This window comes from Homo sapiens, chromosome 7 (genome assembly GCF_000001405.40).
Source record: "Homo sapiens chromosome 7, GRCh38.p14 Primary Assembly".
Lineage (NCBI taxonomy): Eukaryota > Metazoa > Chordata > Mammalia > Primates > Hominidae > Homo > Homo sapiens.
Genome location: NC_000007.14, coordinates 18,806,607 through 18,832,844, shown reverse-complemented (window position 1 = coordinate 18,832,844; position 26,238 = coordinate 18,806,607). Strand labels below are relative to the sequence as shown.

At 35.8% G+C, this 26,238-nt stretch overlaps 1 protein-coding gene and 1 pseudogene across 6 annotated transcripts in view, besides 1 other annotated feature; one reads left to right on the top strand and one right to left on the bottom strand.

Annotated features, from left to right (window-relative positions):
* The window catches only part of HDAC9 (histone deacetylase 9), a 915,592-nt gene that overhangs the window by 169,572 nt on the left and 719,782 nt on the right, over positions 1-26,238 (bottom strand). For all 6 annotated transcript variants that reach the window (NM_001321868.2, NM_178425.4, NM_001321877.2 and 3 more), the window contains 2 exons: positions 3,629-3,684; positions 3,297-3,384 (listed from right to left, as the gene is read on the bottom strand). In NM_001321868.2, coding sequence (NP_001308797.1) covers positions 3,297-3,384; positions 3,629-3,684 — 144 coding nt within the window. The remainder of the gene's footprint in view (positions 1-3,296; positions 3,385-3,628; positions 3,685-26,238) is intronic.
* Positions 2,063-3,752: an enhancer, noted in NCBI's record as "VISTA enhancer hs2306 and eExon 18 fragment used in the reporter transgenes". NCBI's record gives its function as "enhancer in: limb[4/4]; activates a Hsp68 promoter in the anterior limb bud of transgenic mice {active_cell/tissue: limb}" and the evidence as "EXISTENCE:transgenic organism evidence [ECO:0001131][PMID:17130149, PMID:22442009]".
* Positions 24,566-24,852, top strand: RN7SKP266 (RN7SK pseudogene 266; annotated as a pseudogene).

Sequence of the window (26,238 nt, the reverse complement as noted above, 5' to 3'; positions counted from 1 at the left end):
AGAATCGCTTGAACCCGGGAGGTGGAGGTTGCGGTGAGCCGAGATCGTGCCATTGCACTCCAGCCTGGGCAACAAGAGCGAAACTCCGTCTCAAGAAAAAAAAAATATATATATATCATTTTTTTGTTTGTTTTCCTTGCTGTAAAATATTCATACAAAGTACTGATTGGTCAGGTATGATCTAAAGCTTGTTTCTTCATGGCAACACATATATAATAAACTAAGATAAGAAAATTATTGGTGATTGTGAGAAATTACTATAGAAATGAAATAAAATGAAACATTAAAACTCCCAAAATAGACCTTGTATCTAAGATATGTGGGGAAATGCTGAAAAATTGTTTAAATATTTTACTGGTTAAAAAGCATACTGCAAACATTGATGCTGTACAAGGATTTAGAACCTGTATATTTTCACTATTATGTTAAAATAACTTTGAGTAACCTTGAATAAATCATATATTCTAGCAGCTAATGTTATCACTCCTAGTTACTCAGTATAGGGACTTGTAATAAAGATCTAAATGTACTTGATCAACAACGCAATTTCCCAAAATCTAAGGACATTTGAATTAACTTTCCTTTTACAAAGACAGCTTAAAAAGTACTATTGTCAAAATAAAAGTCACATTACCTAAAAGCTACCTGAGTCATACAGTCTTACTTGTAGGACAAGTTAATCCCCTAAACACAATGGTCAGTCTCTTGCAAGTTGAAAAGCAAGTACACCTGCTCCCTGTCCACACTAGTCTGAATATGTTTGGGATCTGCCTCAGAAAGGAACATGGAATAAATGAGCTCCACAGATCAACTAGAATCATTCTTGCCTAAAATACTCAACGCTGCTGAATTTGGCTGTGACCCAAAGTAGTAGGCAAATTAGAACTCTAGCTCTGCATTTACTAAACATATAAAAATGCTGAAACTGCTGGACAAAGGAGTACCTTTGCCATCTATTGGCGCTGTAATTTGTGGAGTTAGTTCACACCCCCCAGCTAACATTAATGACTTTGGATTTGCAGGAATAACTTTTTGTTGTTTTTTTTTTGGCTACGGAAAAGCCATCTATTGGCTTTTTCATTGCTAACTTGCAGAATAGACCTGTCAGCCAGGGAGAACGGATGTCTCAAGGCCACGTGGCACCTTAAAACTTCCTTCTCAGCAGCTGGAAGAAACAGGAATTTCCTCAAAGTAGCCCTGCAGCTGCAGAATTTGGAAGACTTGAAAGTAAGAATATGTGGGCTGGTGGTGATCTCAGAGGCAACCCTTTGGACAGAACTCCATATATTTAGATAATTTGAAACAAAAACTTCTCGTCTACTACAGCCTGTTGGGAAATCAGTATCCTTTCTGATTGGATAATGGAGCAAATACATAATCAAAGGCCAGGAAGCTTACAGGAAACTCCTTGGAGCTACCAAGTAACTTATTTTATAAATCGTATCAGATTTTTCCAGCAGTCTTTTATTCCTATACTGTATTACTGTACAAAAACAAAACTTTACATATACATCCTCTGAAATACAAAGTATCCATTTATCACAAGGGAGGCATTTTAGCTTTCAAGTCTCTTGTACAATTCACTACTTTTGAGTCTAGATATCACAAATGTGTTTTCAAAGGGGACTCCTAACAGTTTTTGACTATCCTCCTAGAACCTTAAAATGGTAGCAGAGAAGATTCTTTAGAAAGTAAACACTAAAAGATCCCTAAGGATAGGACAAACTGTTGACCAATCACCTTCTTACATAATTTTGACAAATTGAGAAAGCTTAGAAAAATTCTTTCCCTACAATCTTTGCTCTTTATCTGCTTTTCTTAAGTTTCTGGCTTATCTCCCTGGCATAGAACTTACAGAAAGAGGAGCATACTATTTTTAAAGTTTTAATATCTTACAAATTATGCAGAACAGCAATTATTAATTACTTTAGCTGTCATTTTGCATATAAATGAGAAAATGGGTACTGATGTCTTGATTTTTGTAAAATTGTAACATCTTGCTGCTGTAGTATATCTAGGCCTTCAACACATTTCTTTAACGGTGAGCTATGCCTGACATTGAGACTCAGGCGTGTATGGAAAATACATGGATAGTTAGGTTTCAATACTCTTCTCTCCAAAGTGCTTGCAGGAATGCTTCAATATAGTGTGTGAAAAATACCCATTGCAACGAAGCACAACAAATGGGTATCGTTCTTCCATTTCTTTTATCTTCGTTTTCACTTAACTAAGCATTTCTTCACATGGCTTTGTTTGTGCTCTCTCAACCCTTTGGTGTGCCTGCTTAACTGGATTCGAAGGCTGGAGGGCGAGGCCGTGACTTCCAATAAGATTTAATTATGAGTGCAGATATGAACAAGATTTAGACTATTAAGGCTTGCACTTCAAAAAAAAACCTTTAGCATATTTTGCCTTTAAATCTTTTATCACCTGCAAAAATTAATTAAGTGCAGATGTACCAGGTTCGGTTTGGATGCCAGGGTTCATTTCCTGTCTATGCTTTGTCAGACAACCTATTACACCTCCTTGAGAACTGGAGGCAAACTGAAAACGGGGCTCATAAATCACCATTCACTTCTCTTTCGCCCTTTCCTGGGTTGGTCCTTTTTGTATGGGGCAGATCTCCAGATCTCCAGCTCATTATTCATGAATATACTGTGGACAATATGCCAAGTGTCATCTGCTTTTAAACAAACCATTTGTTAGACAAATTCTAACTTTACTGTGTAAGAATGCATCACGTTAAAATACAAGACTAATCTAGTGCCTCTAACTTTCAGTCACTCAGGGTTCCTGCAGAGAATCATCCCAAACTGGCATCTGAGATTGGAGATCTTTTCAGTAAGAGTGACATGCCGACTTGTTTTAATAATACCACTGTTGCACAACAAGCAACATGATTTCTAACCAGGGGGAAGTGGCCAATTGGTTACCAAAGCAACAGCATTCTTTCCAGCACATCTGACTATTGAGTCTATATTCTGTAGGGAAAAGTAAATTCAGGTTCTGTTGGGTTATTTTAACTGTGGAAGTATCAATTCATTTAAGGATCATAAAAGTTGCCCTGATCTGCGCCTTCTTCTCATTAAATTGCAGTTAACACCATGAAAGTGAAACGTGAATGTTTATGGTTTCAGAACTGCAATCCTGAGTTTAATGAGTTTCCACATTCAAAGGAAAACACACCCTTCAGTTGTTTGCAAGTGCTAAAAGCAAGACAACCTAACAGAGAAATACAAATCCACTCCCCTTTATCTAGAATCACTGAAAATGCAGCTCTGGCCAGGAATACATACCAGATCTACAATCAATATCTTGCTTATATTTAGTTGGTCTCTCAAGTATTTGGCGGTAATTGCAACTGAATTAAAAAAGCAGAACCCCCTGCGGAATAGAGAAGAACAGAGAAATAAGAAAGCAAATCATCCAGGAAAACCATTATAAATAATGTTCAGAGCATTTTTTTAAATGCTATATGATCTCTGAAGCCATAAATCTGCTTCTGGGAGTACCTCGCAAGATTTTTCAGTCCATCTGCTAACAATTAGAGGCTTCAGAAACATGCACGGGGCAGGTGACCGCCAGGAACCGTGGTGCTTGGAGATGGGCAACAGTCCCTGGTACTTACATGGCTGTGGATTCTTCAGCGTGATGGCCAGGGGGCCTCACAACAGCAAACCCATTCTGTGAAAACAAGACAGGTTTTCAATGGTCAGATATAATGGAGAGGGTAGGAGAGGGATTGCTTGGATCTCCAGGCACAACAGTGCCTCAGGCACACACACACAAAACTGAAGTCTCATACGCTTCCGAGATTGTTTTTGTTCCCCCATTGCCAGTCATAGAATGAAGAGAAACAACACATGTGATCACATTTTCTCAGATCATGTCCCAAAAGAAGGCTCCGAGTCGGGGGAAGGGCAGGATTTGGGGAGGTGCAGCTAGCTGGCAAACATGCATGTCAGCTGTTAAACTAGCATGATTCATTTTCAAGAACAACTCCTTATTTTATGACATCAACATCCTACAGAGGGAGAAGAAATTCACTCTTGGTGCAGGTTTGGGTCAAAGTTTGGAAAGACCAGAGAAGATCCAAAGTGAAAATTCTTTAACTGGATCTCCTTGATGGTTATTTACACTCCAATGTCAGTAAAATGATAAATTTACACTCACACACTCACATAGACACAAAAGAAATCCCAGAAAGGTGAAAAAGAGAACAATGGAAAGCCCATATTTCTTCCAGTCTATAAATTTAGCTTGGATGACCGCCAAGACTTGCAACTTTATTGGATTCCCTAAGTCAATTTCTAGCCTGCATTCTGGAATTTTATAAAGAATTCCAGGGCTGAGAAGCAAGCAGATCTATCCATGATCAAGAAATGCCTTAACCTCCAGATTAGTTGGAATGCATCACGGAAAGCTGAAGTAACTCCGGCATGAAGGCAGGGAACTATAAATCCTTGCAAAGCCAGCATGCTCAGAAAAGTTGGGTTGTTTGACGTGAAGTAATCATTTATCACATGGTTCACACCACCTTTCACTCAACTATGGTTCAAGTAACATGCTCAAAAGAGCATGTTAATGCTGTTTTATACACAATCCTAAAACTTTTGAAATAATTTCAACCTACCCCAAAGACTTTTTTTCAAAACTTTTACTGCATATATAAAAATATTGAGAAAACTAATCTATTCTCTAGGTCTTTAAACATACACATATCTTTCCAGAATGTTATGGTCATTAACACACAATGAGTTAATTTGCTATATATTTTGTTGAATATATATAATAATACACTAATAAACAAATTAGAATCATATAACATAATGTCAATTAGAAATCTAGTAATGGTGATAAACATATTCCCTGTTCTTATTCTTAAGACACTTACTATCGCTCTGATGGTAATATATTAATATGAAAGGAACTATCAATGAACAACACAAGATAATAGAGACTGAAACATTAAGATGGTAGATTGACACTATAGAGTGCTGCAGGACTTCTGAGAATAGAGAATTTGGTAAAGCTTATGACAGATGCACATGGTTCACTGGGAAACCAATAGGATGAAAATAACAATATATAATACAAGAATATAATTAGCATGTAAAGAACTTTTATGATTAGATCAACCACGCTAAAACTTTTGTGATTCAATTAAAAATATGTTTAATGGGTTAAAGGTATGGCATAACAACACAAAGAAGAAAACACCCAGTAACCAGTAGCTATTAAAAAATTCAACTTAATTAGTAATTAAATGAACATAGCTTAGAACCCAGAGAGAAGCCATTTTTCTACCCTGGAAATTAAATTTTTAGAAAATGTTCTATGCTGACAATGGAGGGGGGTACGCTAAATGCTCATATGCTGCTTGTAGAAGGATAATTCATTAGATACTTTCTAGAAAATAATTCATCTCTATATATCCAGAGCCTTAAAAAAATACTTATCTTCTGATTTAGTCATCTAGTTAAAAAATTTCTGCCTTAAGGGTGCCATTAACTATGTACACAAGCAATTATGTAAAAGATAGTGTCTTATTTATAATAGGGAAAACCAAATACCATGGACTATTAGATAGTCTTTAACATTTTGTTATAAATATTTAGTGGAATCAAAAAGACTTTATCATGTAAATTTTTGAAGTGTTAGTATTAATAATATACATAGTATAATATATACGAAGGAAGGTTTAATGTGGGTTATTTTATTTTTAATTTATAATTTCATATATATATAGTTTTTTTTTGAGACGAGGTCTCGCTATGTTGCCCAGGCTTGTCTTGAACTCCTGGGCTCAAGCATTCAACCCACCTTGGAGTCCCAAAGTGCTGGGATTACAGCTGTGCAGCACTGCACCCGGCTAAATTTCACATATTTTTCCAATAGTTTTATAACAAAAATGAATTATCTAATGGGGAAAAAATATATATAACAGATAATATTGAGAGGTAGATGTTAATGGGTCTTACCAGAAAAGTTGTGTTTACAAAGGAAGAAAAAAAAATTTAGGGCATCCTAGGCAGGAGTTAAAGCATGACAACAAAGAAGAAAGGATTTTAGAAAGCATTATGGAAGAAAGTCAACCTGACTCTAGAGTTCATGTTAAGAAACAAAATGGAAATGAAATCTCATAGGTAATTAGTTGGATTATTAAAAAAAAAACAAAACCAAAAAAAAAAAAAAAGACTTGAATTCTCTCTTCCTCCTTTCACTTACAGCCAAATTCCTTGAACGAAGTATCTGCTTTTCACTTCATAATCCTTTGTGGGAACCTCCATCATTCTGCTAAACTATTTCTGAAACTGCTTAATCTTAGGTTGAAAATGATCTTCTTCTCGCCAAAATCAACAAACTTTTTCTCAGTCATCATGATCCACCCAAACCTCGCATTGTGCTCTCAGGAATATCAAACTCCTCTACATTTTCCATATATTTTCTGAGTGCCCCCCTTTCCTTAGCTGAAACCTCAAAACGCTGCTTCTCCCACAATCTGCTCAAGTGGTAGCTGTTTCCTCTCTCATACCTCACAAACCTGCCTGCAGCAGAAGGCAGAGTTGGTGTCCTTGTTTCTTCACTGCTGCTTTGAGAGCACAAAGTCCACTGCACCTACCCCCACAATACTTTCTTGTAAAAATGAATTGTATCACTCAGAAAAAGAGAAGATAGAACACAGTAAGATGCCTGACTCTGAGTCCTAATGCAATCTGGGTTCCTTTATTCTCTGTCACACTAGAGAAGGTGTTAGTCCTTCTAAAATCTGTGTCACTGCCTGCAGTTTGGACCCCAACCTTCCTGCTTTTCTACCATCCCTTATAAAACTTTTCGCACTAACATGTTACATTTGTATAATTCCCCTCCAAATTATAGACATTGTATTGAGATTCAAATAGGCTCAAGCTTCTGATATTAAAAATGTATATTATATAAATATAACATTATATATATTATATAAATATAAATTACATAATATACGATATGTGTGTATATTTATGTGCATATATGTATATATGTGTGTATTTGTTTATATGTGTATATATGTGTATGTGAAGGTTTTATATATCTATATAATTTTGATAATTATATATTTTTATAATTACATACAAATATATATTTTTTATAATTTATATATATATAAAATCTTTGTCCTTAATCCCATCAATCCCTCCAGCTCCCACGTTTTTCTTCTTCTCCTTTTAATAGTCAACATTCTTGAAAAGGTGGTCTGTCCTACTTTCTCCTTTTCCTCATGTCTGCTTCAGTTATCAACCTCTAATTTCTCCTCCAACCTCATTAGTCCACTAAAGAAGCTCTTACAAAAGTCACCAATGGCCGCCATGCTACTAACTCCAAGGTCATTTTTTTTTCCTCTCAGCCTTCTGGCCCTAAACTTTCAACACTATTGGCTGCATCTTCCTTTTCACAAGACTTTTCTTGGCTTCTATAATTTCATGCTCTCCTGGTTTTCCTCTACTTTTCCCCTTCCTAATCAATCTCCCTTGGAGGCTCATACTAAGTCTTCTCATTTTTAAATACTGAAATTACTCAAGTCCAAGTCTTTGTCTTTTCCTCTGCTCTTTCCATACCTCCTAGGCAAGGCCACCAGTCTTATGAATTCAGCCATCACCCATCTCATACACTTCACAGATTTCTATTTCCAAGATGGACTCTTCTCTGGGAACCAGCCCAATATATATTAGCCCATGTACTCAATATCACTTGGATATATCAAAGTCACTTGAAACTCTATACCAAAATCAAACTTCTGGCCTTCTGCCAGCCTTCTCTAACTTAGAAATGGTACCATGATTGATCCAGTGGCTCAAGTCAGAGACCAATGAGTTCTCTTTAATGGCACCTTCTCCCTATCTTTTCTCCATCCCCTTTTATTTCATGACAAATTCCTGTTGATTTTGTTTTTATATATCACTCAAATGTATGCAGTTATATCTGAATGCATTCATTGAATATGCTGCCTTTTGAATTCCTGCCTTTTGAATTACTCCTCCAGTAATTATTCTTACATCCACACAGTGGATAAGAAACCAGAGCTCACTTTGTGAGTGCTCAGACGAAAGGCACATGAGGGTGGCAGAGAGAAGATGGCTGTCTGCAAGCCACAAAGAGAGCTCTCACTATATGATTCCAACATGCACACAATCCATTCAATATCCTGATTTCTCAGTTCTCTGACTCTTTGCTTTCAATACATTAGTCTTTTTTTACAGTCATATTCCTAGACCCTATAATTACCAATAGCAACATCACTTTCATGATTTCAATGTCAAGCATCCTACTCTCCTATCCTATCATTCCAGTTATAGCTTCATCTGCACTGGGACTTCCAATCCATTCATCTCATTTATGTTTGCTTATCCATCAATCACCCCCACCACCATGTTTGCCTTCCTTCTTATCTGGGTTAAACTTCAGACCCATCATTAAATTTACTTCCTTGCATATACACTTAGTCATCTTGTCTCTTTCTCCCACCAGCATACTTCCTTTGTGTATTCTGCTCAGGTTGCCATAGGTTAGGTGGCTTGCACACAGACATGCCTCTCTCACAGTTCTGGATACTGGAAGTCCCAGATCAGCTCCAGCAGGGTTTGTTCCCTGGTGAGAGCTCTCTTTGCGGCTTGCAGACAGCCGTCTTCCCTCTGCCACCCTCAAGTGCCTTTCATCTGAGCACTCACAAAGCGGGCTCTGGTGTCTCCACCTCTTCTTCTTCTCCTTCTTGTTCTTGTTCTTCTTCTTCTTCTTCTTCTTCTTCTTCTTCTTCTTCTTCTTCCTCTTCCTCTTCCTCTTCCTCTTCTTCCCCTTCCCATTCCCCTTCTCCTTCTTCTTCTTCTTCTTCTTTCACAGGGTCTTGCCCTGTCACCCAGGCTGCAGTGCAGTGGCATCATCTCAGCTCACTGCAGTCTCAACCCGTGGGCTAAAGTCATCCTCCCACCTCAGCCTCCAGAGCAGCTGGGGCTACAGGCACACACCACCACACCTGGCTAATTTTGGTATTTTTAGTGAAGATGGGGTTTTGCTCTGTTGCCCAGGCTGGTCTCAAACTCCTGAGCTCAAGTGATCACTTGCCTTAGCCTCCCAAATTGCTGAGATTACAGGTGTGAGCAACTGTGCCTGGCCTCTTCCACTTCTTACAACAGTACCAGCCTATCTCACTGGGGACCTTAAGACCGCATGTGATCCTTATCATCTCCTCATAGGCCTGTACTGAAATACAGTCACACTGGAGATTAGGGCTTCAACATATGAATTTTGGGGAGGCACAGACATACTTTCAATCACTTTGTCACTTTCTCCCTCCAACATACTCCCATGGTAAAATTGCCATCCTGATTAAACACAAGTCACACCTGCTCTGTCCCCGCACCTAAGCATATCTAAAAGCCACATGACTTGTCTAAATTCACAACCACAAAACCTTAAATAAACTCTACGTGGTGCCCAGCAATCATACTATAGTCCTTAACAATGAACTCTCCCATCCTTTCAGATGAGCATTTCTACCTTCCTTTCGTTCTTCCAATCTCCTACCCTGCTCATTCCTTACCCTTTGCTGATGACTTTTCTTCTTATTTCACTAGATAGTAGCAGCAATTCAAATACAATGTCTACATTCTTCCACCAGAAATTCTACCCACCTACCCCACCATCCCTGATCCTATGTGAGAACAGTTAATTGGCATGTGCACTTAATCTTAGTCCCTCTCACCTATTCAAGGACATCTCACTCACAGCTTTCCTCTCTCCCTCTTTGATAGCCTGTGTTTTCTTTTATTGGGTTATTTCCATCAGAATAAAAAACATATTAAGTCTTAATAAAAACAGAACAAAATGACAAATAAAAGTATTATATCATAATGTTATAGCAGAATATATAATACAAAAATAACAAAATACAAATACTATGATACATAATAAAATCTAATATTTTATTGCCCATTTAATCCTAACAACTTGTGTTAGGCAGATAATATTATTATCCCCATTTCACAAATGAAGAAATTGAGGCACAGAAAGATGAAAGAACTTGCCTAAAGTTCATATCTAGCAAGTGACAGTGCTGGGATCCTATTCCAGGCAATCTGGCACAGAAGAAAAGTCATTTAAGACTAGTCAACTGCCTGATCTGGTCTCTGTTCACCTATGACATAAAAAAGAAATATGTGGCCAGGTGTGCTGGCTCACGCCTGTAATCCCAGCATTTTGGGAGGCCAAGGCAGGTGGATACCTGAGGTCAAGAGTTCAAGACAGCCTGGCCAATGTGGTGAAACCTCATCTCTACTAAAAACACAAAAATGAGCCAGGTGTGCTGGCGGGAACCTGTAATCCCAACTAGTCGGGAGTCTGAGGCAGGAGAATCGCTTGAACCCGGGAGGCGGCAGCTGCAGTGAGCTGTGATCGCCCCATTGCACCCCAGCCTGGGCGACAAGAGTGAGACTCCATCTCAAACAACAACAACAACAACAACAAACAAACAAACAAACAAAAACCAAACCCTTGGACTCTCTGAAGTGAAAGGTGTCTTTTTGTATGTTAATGAGATGACTGGGGGCTGGGGGCTCCTGGATAGCCTCAGGATGGTGGCTCCTTTCCAGAGGAACCAACAATATGATTAGAAGATTGAAATATTTATCCCCACAGCCCAACCTCTGGGGAGGAGAGAGAGGCTGGAGGTAGAGTTGATTATCAAGGGCCAATAATTTGATCAATCTTGCCCATGTGATGGAACCTCCACAAAGAATAAAAAGATAAGGTTCAGAGAGTTTCCAGGCTGGTGAACATGTGGAGAAACTGCAAGGGTGGCACACTTGGAGAGGCAATGGAAGCTTTGTGCCCCTCCTCCATACCTCTTCCCATGCATCTCTTCCATCTGGCTGTTCCTGAGTTGTGTCTCTCATAGTAAAACAGTAATCTAGTAGGTAAACTGATTTCCTGAGTTCTGGAAGTTATCCTAGCATAATCAAACACAAAGAGGGGGTTGTAATAACATCTGATTTATAGCCAACTGGGCAGAGGCACAGATGAAAACCTGGACATGCAACCAGCATCTGAAGTGGGGACAGTCTTGTGGGATTGAGCCCTTAACTTGTGAGATCTGATTCTATCTGCAGGTAGAGAGTGTCAGAATTGAGTTAAACTGTAGGACATCCAGTCAGTGTCTGCAGATAATTGGAGAATTGCTGGCTGTAGGAAAAAACACATACATATGGTGTCTGAAGTGTTCTATGTTAATTGTGAATATACAGAAAAACAGTTGATCTTCCTTTTCCCGCTGCATCAGTTTTATTTTGTATCACCATTCATCTTGCTTTCTCCACCGCAGCCACACTGGCCTTTTGGTTCCTGCAGCCACAAGGCTCTGCCTATGCTCCTAGTTCTATGTGGGATGTCTTCCACTTACCCACTCCCTCCCTTTGCCTGAATAATGCCTCCTTATCCACACATTTCAGCTCCAACATCATTTCACCAGAGAAACCATTCCTAAGCCTCTATCAGTCACCATCAAGTTCCTCTGTGTTCTGGTTTAAATGTGTTCCCTCCAAAATTCAGGTGTTGAAACTTAAGGGTCAATATGATATTATTAAATGGTAGGGCCTTTAAGCAGCGATGAGGTCATGAGAGCATTTCCTATCATAAATCGGATAAGGCCATTATAAAATAGGCTTCTTGCAGCCTTTGGTGGGCTTGCCCTTTCGCCTTCTACCCTGTAAGGACACAGTGTCCCTCCCCTCAGGTGGCTGCAGCAACAAAGTGCCATTTTGGAGGCAGAGAAAGACCTCACAAGACAATCAAATCTGCTGGCACCTTGATCTTGGACTTGATCCCAGCCTCCAGAACTGTGAGTAAATACATTTCTGCTTATCATACATTACTGCATCTGTGGTATTTTGTTACAGCAGTACAAATGGACTAAGACACTCTATAATATGCCCTTAGAGATTTGCCAACCCCGATTTCTGAGAACTCATCTCTATTTCTAATGATACACCTCTTGGTGTGATTATTTAATACATTTGTTGTTATTATGTTTATTACACGATTAATGTCCTCCTCCCCACTCCCCAAAACATCTACTTTTTGCTCACCATTTTAGCTGCTAGATTTACATAGTATCTGACATATAGTGGCCAGTAAAGGATGATAAAATAGATTTATGAGTAGCTACTACCCTAGCTTTTTTCCTCTCCCTCTGGCCATTCCTCTACTCTGGGCTTTGCTAGAAAATTTTCCTTCTCTCAAGGGCCCCCGATTTTGCACCCCAGGTTTTGGGAGAAGGTTGCTGTTTAGACTTGGGAGCACAACACCTTCTTTCTTAAAACACATAAAATATTTTGTGCTTTATAATGAATAAAATCATTGATTTGATGAAACTGTGAAAATGTTTTAAAATAAGATTACTATTCTTACAGTATCTGCTTTTCTCACCGAATTCTGAGTCTCCTAACAGGGAATTTGTATAGTATTTTTCTGACATAAAGATGTGTTCTATATTATACTAGAACCAAGTTTCTCCTTGGCTCAAGAACATGTCTCTCTTCAATGAGAATTTCTCAACAAGTTTTTTAAATAATTAATTTACTGTTTTTCAAAGGACTTGAAAATCTACTAGTCTCACAAAATATAACTATCAGAAGACATATGCAAGAAAGAATTCAGTGACTTAATTTCTTATTTTCTCATTTAATGGTAATAAAAATAGAAAATTTTTTCATTTTATGAAAACAAATCTGTTTCTCGAACTTTGAAGGGAATATATTCATATTTAACCTTTTTAAACTTATGAGCATCTTAGATTGTTGTAGTAAAACCCACAAATGCCATATTATGCAATACAATTTAGATTTTTTTCTACATAATAACATGGAAAAACTCTTTGCTTTATATTTTATTTTAAGTTACAAAGACCAAGCAGTTAATCTAAGCAAATATATCCTATAGTACCTTTCTGTGGATTTCAGTCAACTTAATGGTGACATAGATTTTATTTTAATAAACTGATTTGTAACATTTCTTCTCAAGTTTTACTTTCTCTTCAGGCATGAACATGACTAATAATAGAACTTTGGCAGTATTTTAATGTCACCAAAAGTGACAATTAATCTTTCAAGGACTGAATACTCACATTCCTACTTTCTTGCTGTTGTTTAGATTGGTGTTATGGATGTTTCTCCTTAGTTTAAAGGGAAGAAATGATGTTTTCCGGTGGGACCATATGCGGAAGTACAAGAGAATATTTGATTGCCAAATATAGCCATGTGGTATCCAGGAAAGAAAATCTATGGCATAGTCTATATGCAAAACTGGATTTGAAAAAAAAAGAATCTGATCATTTTAGACTAGTCTATTTTCATAACTGATGAAATTCACATTTTCTGGGCAAATTTATCAAAATGTCAGATTTATTTTTGTGTTCCTTATATACATAGTGAAACTCTGCCTAGGCAAATAAAGGGCAGGCAGTAAGCAAATCACTGGAACCAATTTAAACATTTATTTTTTGTTGGTTTTTAAAATTTATTTATTATTATTATTATTTTTAGATGGAGTCTCGCTCTGTCACCCAGGCTGGAGTACAGTGGTGCTATCTCAGCTCACTGCAACCTCCGCCTCCTGGGTTCAAGTGATTCTCCTGCCTCAGCCACCTGAGTAGCTGGGATTGCAAGTGCGCACCATAAAGCCTGTCTAATTTTTGTATTTTTAGTAGAGACAGAGTTTTGCCATGTTGGCCAGGCTGGTCTTGAACTCCTGACTTCAAGTGATCCACCCACCTCAGTCTCCTAAAGTGCTGGCATTACAGGCATGAGCCACTGTACCTGGCTAGACATTTTTTTTTTTAATTTCATATAAACTAAGTCTATTGCTATGGCAAGGATAGGTACAGAAAATAAGAAAGTGCAAATTAATATGATCATTTTACTTGCTGCATTCATTAAGATTGTCCCATGGGCAACAGAAACGTATATTTCCATTTCTCTAACATCCCCATAGCCAAATAGTATTTGGATGGTAAGAACTGCTACTAATTCCAACCTAGATGGAGTAATTTAGGCTTCAAAATCATGAAAAATAAGGGTCAAATCTCCACTGATGAGAGTAAGAACACATCGTGTACCAGAATCAGCCAATAAATACAGAATGCAGAACAAAACGTCAAGATGATTCAGACTTTAACAAACACTAAGCAATGAGCCAGAACTTAAATTAATACTACCTTTAATACCCAGTAGTCCTGCTAGCTACTTACTAATTTTTATATACTTATTCTTGGTAAAGGTATAGCTGCAGTGCAGAGAATAGTAAGTCTATGTGACATTTATAAACTGACAAGAGATGAGATGATTGTGTTTCTTTGTTGAAAGTAGTTGATCAAATATTAGATTTTTACTTAAGTTTTATAAATATAACTATTTTAGGAAACTATAACAAAATAAAAAATCATACAGAGAAAAATGTTTTATGTATAATATAACTGCCTACTATCCAAAAACTAATTGAGCATATCAGACCAGCTGATCGGGATTCTGTTTTTAAAATTTCTCTTTGAGTGTACTGGTAATTTAGAGTTCAATAATTACCTCCCAGTGCTTAAGTATCAGCACTAAGGTACTTCTAAATGTCCGAAAGTATCAATGCTCAGTAAAATAATATTTATCAAAAGCAAGCACAGTATGGAAAAATTCTACAGCATGTATTTCCAAGTGAAGATGTGATGGTTGAATTACTACTTCCAATACATTTGCTGAATTCAAAATTCGCATGCGATGTTTTATGTGTGTGAACTATTTCACTGGAAGCCAAAATTTCAGCTACCCAAATTCATATCGATGCATTATCAATTTTGAAAATGACTTTAAGAAGCATTTTTTGCTTAAATGTAGGTTGAGGTTTTTGTTTTTATTTTTTAAGAAGAATGACTGAGGATATTTAATCTACCTTGCTACTTAATGATAATTATAATTATTAAATATATTTGTGCATAGGCAATTTGGGTCTTTTAAAAAAGAAGGGTTGAAAGCAGCCAGAACCTGCAGTTTCTATGACTATGCTGGGATAGTACAGTTTTTCTCCGTCAAAAATAGGTTTGCCAGCAAGTGCCCATTCTAACCTCCCAATCATCTTGCTTGCCATGTGTACACGTCTCTTACCTGATGACAGAACAAAAGCATAATGAAAATAAAGTATACATTAGCTAGTTTAACATATTTTAAAATATTTACAGCAATAAACTTCTGATTTTTTATATTAAGTTGTACAGAGGTCAAGAAATCAGAAACATGGTCAGGACATAATGCTTTTGAAAGATTTAACTGGAAAAAAGATCCAAATGTTCTATTACACTAAAATTTTGTTCTGGAAAATCACTGCTTCAAGCATTTGTGTTATTGGTTGAACCCTCTTTGGGTTTTTTTTATTGTTTTTGTTTTGGGGGAATGAGTGTGTGATATTTGTTGTAACAGGCCTTACAATATAAATAATACTTCTCGGCCGGGCGCGGTGGCTCACGCCTGTAAACCCAGCACTTTGGGAGGCCGAGGTGGGCGGATCACGAGGTCAGGAGACAGAGACCATCCTGGCTAACACGGTGAAACCCGTCTCTACTAAAAAATACAAAAAATCAGGCAGGCGTGGTGGCGGGCGCCTGTAGTCTCAGCTACTCAGGAGGCTGAGGCAGAAGAATGGCGTGAACCCCGGAGGCGGAGCTTGCAGTGAGCCCAGATCGCACCACTGTACTCCAGCCTGGGCGACAGCGCGAGACTCCATTTCAAAAAAAAAAAAAACAAAAAACTTCTCACCTAGGTATATTAAGTCGTTTATTTATAAGAATTTTCCCCCTTTTATTCGGGTAAAGTTGAATAGGGCCCAAAAAATTACAATCAAAATTCTTTAGGTCCTTGTGGAATACCTCTGATAGGTCATTTATATGTGACTGCTTCCCCATCCAAAATGGTGTTGATTACACTTAACATAGTGATATGGGATTCCATTTTGTTTTATCTAAAGAAACTGAACATTGTTCCGTGGAAATTAAACACAGTGTCTTTGTTGAAGTCACTGGTACGTTAAAAATTGTTGAGTTAGATCATGCATGAAAATTGGAATGAATGAATACTGCCTTCCCCTGCTCTCACTCTCTGGTAATGGATTGGGGGATTTAGATGACCAGAAACCAATTTAGGAGCAGAGAGAGAAAACGAAGTCTTTCCTCCTGCATCACCTCCCTTGGTTTTGTTGACCTTGTAAGAGCTTGTGCAACAATTGGCTCCGATTCCTCTTTTCAGAAATGGCTCAGATATAGCTACAGTTAATATCCTGTTAAATAACTGGCAATCTCAAATTAACCAGTATGAATATGATACAGTTCATCATTTATTCAATATGCCTATACTAGCTCACATTCAAAGTTGCTGTTCAATAGTAACTATGGATCCTTGATGTGTTCTAAAGTCTTCCTCTTTAGCTACACTAATCTCTGTGATGAAAAATAGTTCCACGTGATTTATATTATGGCAACAATAATATGAAAGTTGAATGCTTCCTTCCTAACTTCAATTTATTGGAATTAAGCTTTACTTAGAAGTAAAAATAAATGCATATGTCTACTAAAGATTGTAGATAGTTGTTTTGCCTTAACACATAAATCTTTATGAGAAAGGGAAAGAGGATCACTCAGTCAATAGGCATCTCTTCATATCTGAACTATTGGTATTGACATTCAAATTAGTAAATCAAGCTCAGTTATTTGTATTGCCTTTGTATTGTATTGCTATGGTTTACCATATGCATAATATTTCCGAATATGCTAACATAGCCCCTAAACCCAGCTAACTTCAGCCTTACAAAAGACCTTATAAAAAGACAGTTTGCTTTAGAATCAATGCTATTAATCTGCAGCCTTTGAGGGAGGGAATTTTCACAAAGAAAATTTGTCTCTCACATGCTGGAATCTGGGAGATTCAGGGAAGTAGGGATATTTGCCAAGAAAACAATAAGGGACATATGGGAATACCATTTTGTTTCTTTGAGCCAGCTCAAGGGAGCCAGGAAAACAAGAGCCCAGCATTAGAAATGTAACTGGATGGTGGATCCCAAAGCCTATGCACAGCTGCCAGCCCTGCTCTGTAAAGAATCTGGAAGGAGGGAGTTTGTTGACAGCACTGGAAAACAGTTCTTAAGAAGCCTGGCATCTGCGGCCCATCATGCCTACAGCCTTCAGCCTGTCAAAACTGGGGCTACAGACAGGACTAAATGCATTCGTGAAAAACCAGGCTTCTGTTAGGAAGGAGACAGGGCACCTGATGATGGTGCTTCTATTGCATGTAATTTAAGTTGAGCCTTTTATGAAAATAATAACAATGGATCCACTATGAAGAAAGTCTTGTTGTGACGGGGGAAATCATCAGGATGTGGTCTTGGTAAGGCAATAATAACCCATTGAAAGCAATTTGTTTAGTTTTCAAGCAGTGGTTTTATTTGACATAAGGCCCAACAATTCAATTGGCCAAATTTTTTGAAACATGACTGATTTTTGGATCACATTGATCAAAAAAAAATCAGATATTTTTTGTCATATAAATATGGCCCAAGTATGCAAAACTTCAAAAAAAAAATAAATTAGGGAAGAAGAAGATTTGTTTTTGTTTTTAAGACACTATTTTTTTAAGACAGAAGTTCATAGCCTTTTTGAAGATCATAACACACAATAAGAGTAATAATCATGACTTGAACAAAGATTATACTGGGCTATAAAGACTGTACCAACGAATGCCCCATTGTAATATCTCTTTCTCTTATACTCATATTTTACTACAATAGATGTGCCTTCAATCAACAGTAATACAAATATTTTCACCATCATTCGTTACCTATAAACATTTTCAATCAGATTTATAAAATTTCAAAAATTTAAAGAGTAACTAATTGCAATGTACATTGTATAACTATTATCAAAATGTCTAGGTTCTTTGGATAGATGATTTTAGTTTTGATTATATTATTCTAATTCTAAATGTTCTTCCTGCATTAAACTCTAATTTTCCAAGGCTATACACTAGTAGAATAGCTACCAACAAGTAAATGTGATCAATTTAGTAAAAACTAGGCAATTGAATACAAATTTTGACCACAGAAATTAAATTATGTGGCATTAGGTACATAATAGCATTATATATAAAGAACATCAAAGCAATTGACCAGCCTTTTCATTTTATAGCAAGTTGGGGTGGGGGGTGAGCATGCACATGTGAATGAAATTTGCTGCCATATAAAATTACAGAGGTGAAAAATACTAATGTTCTCCAAGTGTGTATGATATGTACAATCTGAACACTGGTATCAAAAAAGCCAAACAATGTCTTTTGCAGAGATTGAAACAAAAAAGCAAGGAACATCCGCAATATACATAAACCAGCAGATATCAAATTTAATACTATCAAAGATAAAAACAAACATAAATTACTTGGAAGATATCTTTCATTTTATGTTATTTATTTGTTCTATATTTTAAATATTCAGGTAAAAATATAGCAGTAGAAAACCTTGTAAGTAAATGCTAAAGACTATAATTTATTTCAGGAACCATTATTTCCCATTTATGTTATTTTTAAAATATCAGGACTTTGTTTAAAAGTGCAAAGTAGGTGTCAGGTACTGAGAAAAGCTCAGCAAGGTTTAGAGCGGGGAGTGATGTAGAGTCTGAAGAAAGATGCAGCAATTTTTAGTCAGTATAAGCTAAAGCATATATAAGTAATGAAATCCCGACAGTCTGAAGCCAAGAGCCAGATGAAGAGGCTGGAAATAGGCAGATCCAATTACCATAAAGCAGGCAGTTAAAACTACAAATGAGAAACTGACATTTTAGTCTTCAGAAATGCAGACGGAGGGACTAACATCCTAGAAGGAAATGGACTGTGGTGTGGGAACACCATAGACCAGACAACTAGCTGACAGGTCTTGGTACCTGAACAAAAAATCTTAGTAATAGCTAGACTCTCGCCTTTTACTTCACCCAAAGTTTTTAAGTGTTTATTTGTTTGAAACTTTTCAGAGTTGTAAGTCAGTCCATAATTTGGCTAACTTAAGCTTTCAGAAAGAGTTGGAGCACTGGTACAACAGGAGGCAAGAAGGTTGAAAACAAGGTAGTTTCCCACAAAGTAAATGTATAACTGCCAAGATTTATCCCTTTCTCAGATATTTAGGTAGCTTTTCAGCAGTGGATGTGCAGAAAGTATTTAGTAACATATTTGTCCTATCCTCCATTTAAGTTGAAGAAATAAATAGATAAATAAATAAATGTGCCCCTGTTGTCATCACTTGACTTTGTCCTTTATGAGTATGACCCATAAAATTGGAAACAACAAAGAGCTTCAACACCCCTCTCAAATATGAATCTGTTTTGGAGATCCACACCTGACTAGGAAGAAGAAGGATGTGCAAAACCTTCAGTCTGCCAAAGTAACAATAGATAACCAAAGAAGCCCCAGAGAAGCATGTTTTCCTTTAAATAATTGAATAACTTCACAAACAAAGAAACTTTTAAAAGAATTAAACTCCAAAGAAACAAGCTCTTTTAAGCCTCCACTGTTTCTTTTTCTTTAACACAATGCCTAGAAGATGATCAAATATTACAAGACAGGCAAAGAAGCAGAAAAAAGAGACTCATAATCAAGTGAAAAATAAGATAATAGAAACAGACTCACAAATGACTCAGAAGTATAAGACAAAAATCTGAAAAATAATTATAAGCATGTCAAACAATCTACAGGAAAAGATGAATATAATGGTGAAGTGACAATTTCAAAAGAGAACTGGAAAGTGTAAAAAAGAACTAAATGGGAATCCTAGAAGTAAATAGTACAATGTGTGAAATGAAAAGTTTTTTGGATGATATTAGCAGCAGGTTGAACACAACAGAGGTCAAGGACAAAGAATTTAAAGACAGGGCAAGAAAAACAAAAGTGCAAAGAAGAAAATGAGACTCAAGAAAATGAACAGAGTCCTCAATGTCCAGTGGGCCATACCGAAGTGATGAAATAAACATGTAATAGGACCCTCAGAAACAGAGGACATAAAAAATGGGGCAGAAAATTGTGTTTGAAGAAATATTAGCTAAAAGTCCTCCAATTGTTATTAAAAACAGCAAGCCACACATTAAGCTCAATGTACTTCAACCGGAAAAAAAAAGAGGAATTCTACCTAATCATTAAACTACATAAAGACTCTTAAAAAGAACCAGAGAAAAAATATACATCTTTTCAACAAGCATGACAGCCGATTTCTAATTTTCAAAAAAAGGAAAGACAAAAATAAAAAAATGACATTGAAAATATATCTTTAGAGTGTGAAATAACTGTCAACATAGTTTTATATATCAAATGATAATATTAACCAAAGATTAAAGGAAAATAAAAATATTTTCTTATAAACAAAAGATAAGAGAATTTGTTGCTAGCAGAACAGTGGTGCAAGCGATGTTGAAAGAAATACTTCAGATTGAAAGGAAATGATACCAAATGGAAACCTGGATCGACTCAAATGAATACAGAACACTAGAAAGGTTAAATATGTGAGCAAATATAAAAGACATTCCATAAATTGTCTTTATTTTATACGTATACTGTTGACCCTTGTATCCATGGGTTCTGTATCTGTGGATTATATCAACTGCAGATAAAATAGATTTAGAAAAAATAAAAAAGCAACAATATAACATTTAAAAGTACAAATAGAAAACACAGCATAACAACGATTTACCTGACATTTACATTATATTAAGTATGATAAATAATCTAGAGATGACAAAGTATACGGAGGATTGCATAAGCTACATGTGTATATTACAACATTTTATGTAAGGGATTTGAGCTATTTAAGGGGGGTTCTAAAACCAATCCCCTGTGAATATATCAAGGGATGAATATGTACATATTTTGTCTCTCTCTCTTTCTCTCTCTCCCTCTCCCTCTCCCTTTCTTTCCTTTACTCTCCCCTCCTCTCTCTCTCACACACACACCCACAAACATACAACACAAACACATATAAACATATACCAACATTTAAACTTGTTTAAAATTTTTCAACTTTTTAAGAAAATTAATAATTAAATGTGAGAATCTACATATGCATAAAAGTAAATATACAATAAAGTAATACAAACTGTAGGAAGAGATAAAAAATTATACCATTATAAATATCAATAAATGTAAAAGAATTAAAGCTCTACAGAAAATGTTTTCTGACCCCAGTGGAATTAAATTATGTATCAATTAAAGAGAGATAGCTGAAAAAATGCCCAAGTAATCAGACACTAAATAATATACTTTAAAATAACTCACGTGTCAAAAAAGAACTCAAAGAGAAAATCAGACAAGTGAAAATGAAAATATAACATAGCAAAATTTACAGAATGTAGATAAAGCTGGATTTAGAAGGAAATTTATAGCAATAAATGCTGTATTGGAAAAGAAGAAAAATCTGAAATCTATGACCTCAGCTTCCACTTTGAAAACTAGAAAAATAAGAGCAAATAAAACATATTGTCTGGAGAAAAAAGAGAAATAATAATGATGAAGTCAGTAAAATAGGAAACAGAAAAAAAGTAACGAATATTAACAAAACTAAAGGCTGGTAGAAGATCAATAAAATTGATAAACCTCTAGCCAGACTGATAAGGCAAATAAAATGTAGGCACAAATTACCACTCTCAGGAATAAGAAAGCTGACATTACAGATTCCACAAATAAAGTGGTAATTACTTTGGAAAATAGTTTGTCATTTTCTTATAAAATACACATACAGTTAAGCTGTAACATTGTTTTCTCTGCTAGGCATTTACCCACATGAAATAAAAATATATGTCCAAAAACAAATTTGGAAAAGTTTCTTTATAGCAGTTTTTTTCATCATAGCCCAAAACTAGAATGAATCAACAAATTAGTTCATATTCATAAAATACTACTCAGCAGTAAAAGTTAACAAACTCCCATGCAAGAGCATGGATGTATCACGTAAACATTTTAAGTGAAAGAAGCCACATAGAAAAGACCACATACTCTATACTGCCATTTATATAAAGTTCTATAATAGGAACAAATAGATTATGATGAAAAAACAGATCAGTGTCTGCCTATGATCTAGGTCTACTACCAGGGACATGAAGGAACTTTCTGGGGTGATTTAAATATTTTATAATTTGTGGTGATAGTCAGGTATAGACATTTGTCAAAAGACATTATGTGTGTTTTATGAAAATCTGTGTGTTCTATTCAGTGTACATTACACTGTAATTTAAAAATAAATGATATCATCGATTTCTGAAAAATATCAATGGATTGTTAAACTGCTTATAGCCATATACAGTGAGAATATTAAAGAAGAACTCTACCTTGAATCTTGGGAAACTGGTTGTGGTAAGCAGAATATTTCCCCAAAGGTGCCCACATACTAACTCCCAGAATCTGTGAATGTTACCTTAAATAGCAAAAAAGACTTTGCAGATGTGATTGAGATTAAAGACTTTGAGATGGGAAGAATACTCCGAATTATGCACATGAGCTCAATAAAATCTTGTGTTTTCCTTTCTTTCTTTGTTTTTTGTTATTGTTGTTGTTTTTAATTCCATAACCTCTCCATTTCCTTCTCCCTGCAGTTTCTGGCAACCCCCTGTTTCTATGAGCTCAACTATTTTAGAACCCACATGTAAGTGTCTGGATTATTTCACTTAACATATTGTCTTCCAGGAACATCCACGTTGTTGAAAATGGCAAAATTTCCTTCTTTTTAAAGGCTGAATAAGATTCCATTGTATGTATATGCTATATTTTATTTGTAGTTCATCTGCTAATGCACATTTAGGTTTTTTCCGTATCTTGCCTATTGTGAGTAATGCTTCAAAGAGCATGAGAGGGCAGATGACACTTGAAGATCCTGATTTCAATTCCTCTGTATGAATATTCAGAAGTTGGATTCTGGATCATATGGCAGTTCTATTTTTAATATTTTGTGGAAATTCCATACTGTTTTCCATAATGATAAATTTCCCATTTAGATTCCCATTAACAGTGTAACATTGTTCCCTTTTCTCCACAATTTTGCTAACACTTGTGTTTTGTTTTAAATTACAGCCATCCCAACAGGTGTGAGGTACATCATTTTCATTTTCATTTACATTTCCCTGATAATTAGCGATGTTGAGTATCTTTTCATGTATCTGTTGGCCAGATATATGCCTTCTTTTATCTGGCCAGATATATGTCTGTATAACTTCTTTAAGAAATGTTTATTCAAGTTCTTTGCATGCCTTTTCATCAGGTTATTTTGTTTTTGTTTTTGCCATTGAGTTGTATGAATTTCTTATATAATGTGGACATTAACCTCTTATCATATATATGGTTTGTAACTATTTTCTCCCATTACACAGGTTGCCTTTTAATTTTGTCGATTGTTTTCTTTGCTATGCAGAGGCTTTTTAGTTTAATATAATCCCTTTGTCAACTTTTGCTTTTGTTGCCTGTGCTTTTTGTGTATAACCAAAAAATCATTGCCAAGACCCTGTTAAGGAGGGTTTCCCTAAGTTTTCCTCAAGTAGTTTTATAGTTTCATGTCTTATGTTTAGGATTTTAATAGATTTTGAGTTAAATTTGGTCTATAGTATTAAGTGAGGATCCAATTTTATATTATTCCATGTGGATATCCAGTTTTCCCAATTCATTTGTTGAAGAGATTATCCTTTCCCCATTTTGTATTCTTGATACCCTTATTGAAGATTAGCTAACCACATTTAGGTGGATTTTACTGCTGGGCTCTCCATTCTATTCCATTGGTCTATATGTTCATTTTTATGCCAGGATCATACTGTTCTGATTATTATAGCTCTGCCACAGAATTTGAAATCAAGAAGTGTGATGTCTTCATCTTCGTTTTTGTTGTTGTTGTTGTTGTTTGTTTTGTTTTTTGGGTTTTTGTTGTGTTTCGTTTTTGTTTAACATTACTTTGGCTATTCAGGGTCTTTTTTGGTTCCATATGAATTTTAGGATTTTTTTTCTCTTTCTGTGAAAAATGTCATTGAAATTTTGATAGGATTGAATTGAATCCATAGATTATCTTGTATATTTTACCAATGTTAATTCTTCCAGTCCATGAACATGGGATATCGTTCCATTTATTCAAGTCTTTCAAAATTTCTCCCATCAATGTTTTATAGTTTTCAGTATGCAAATTTTTTATCTCCTTGGTTTAATTTTTTTCTAAGTATTTTCTGTAGCTATTGTAAGTGGGATTTTTTTTTGGACAGTTCATTGTTAGTATGTTGAAACACCACTGATTTTTGTATGTGATTTGTATCCTATAACTTTCCCAAATTTATTAGTTCTAACAGTATTTTGGTGAGTCTTTAGGGTTTTCTATACATAGAACTATGTCGTATTCAAACAGAGACAATTTTACTACTTTCTTTCTAATTTGGATGCCTTTCACTTCTTTTTCTTATCTAATTTCTCTAACTAGGCTTGCAGTACAATATTGGATAGCAATAGAAAGATTGGTATGTGAAAGCAATCTGACTGCAACATCTGTCAACTCATTCATCACCAGGGTTGATTTGGCAGATCACTGGCTATGCAGAGATCCCCTTCCTCCTTCACTGCTTCACGTGCTTTTCTCCTGAAGCTGAGCACTTAGTTGAAGAGGATGACGTTCCTCAATAGAGGAGTACCATTCTGTGATCAAGGGTACACAAGTAGCTGCACTTCCCTGATAGAATCTCCAAACATGATCTCAAGAAGTAGCAAGATTATCCTGTTACTGATCTTACAGAATATAGATCATCCACAAAAAAAGAATCAATAAGAAAACAGTGGACTTGAAAAACACTACAGATCAAATGGACATAAAAGACAGATGGAGAACATTCCATCTAGCAGCAGCAGAATACACATTCTCCTCAAGTGCACACAGAACATTCTCCAGGACAGATTACACATTAGGTCACAAAACAAGTCTTAACAGATTTATGAAGACTGAAATCACACCAAGTATCTTTTCTGACCACAAGAGTATGAAACTAGGAATCAATAACCAGAGGAAAATTGGAAATTCACAAATATGTGACAATTAAGCAACATATTTCTGGGAAACCAATGGGTCAAATAAGAAAACAAACATAAATAAAAAATTAATCTAAATGAAAATGAACACACAATATGCCAAAACAAGGGATGCAGCAAAAGCAGTTCTAGGAAAGAAGTTTATAGCAATAAATGCCTACAGTACCAAAAAAGAAAGATCTCAAATAAACAACAAACCTTTACAAATAACTAAAAAAAAGAAGAGTAAACTAAGCCCAAAGTTAGCACAAAGAAGGAAATAATAAAGATTACAGCAGAAATAAATGAAATAAAAACATTAAAAATTAGAAAAGGTCAACAAAACAGTTGGTTTCAGACAAGATGAATGAAATGACAATCCTTTGACTAGATTAACTAATAAAAAAAGATATCAGACTCAAATAAAATCAGAATTGAACAAGACTTAACAACTGATACCACAGAAATAAAAAGGATCATAAAAGACTATGAATAACTATATGCCAACAAATTGGATAACCTACAGACACAGATAAATTCCTAGCCACATATATCCTGCTGAGAAACAGAGTCTTCATGAAGAAACAGAAAATCTGAAGCAGGCAACAGCAAGGAGATTGAATCAAAAATTTAAAAATCCCAACAAAGTAAAACCCAGGACCAAAAAGCTTCATTGGTAAATTCTACCAAACATTTAAAGAATTAATGCAAATACTTCTCAAACCCTTTCAAAAATTAAAAAAGAAGGGAGCATTTCTAACTAATTTTATGAGGGAAGCATTACTCTGATACCCAAACCAGGCCGGGACACTGCAAAACAAGAAAACTACAGGCCAATATCCCTGATGAACATGGATGTAAAAATCAAAATACTAGCAAACCAAATTGAAAGCACATTATGATAAAGTGGGATTTATCCCTAAGTTGCAAGGTTGTTTCAATATATGCAATTCAATAAACGTGATATAACACAGTAACAGGATGAAGGATAAAAATCATATGATCCTCTCAATAGATGCAGAAAAAGCATTTGACAAAATTCAGCATCCTTTCCTGAATAAAATTCCCAACAAATTAGGTATATAATAAATGTATTTTCATATAATGAAGACCATCTAAGAGCACAGCTAAT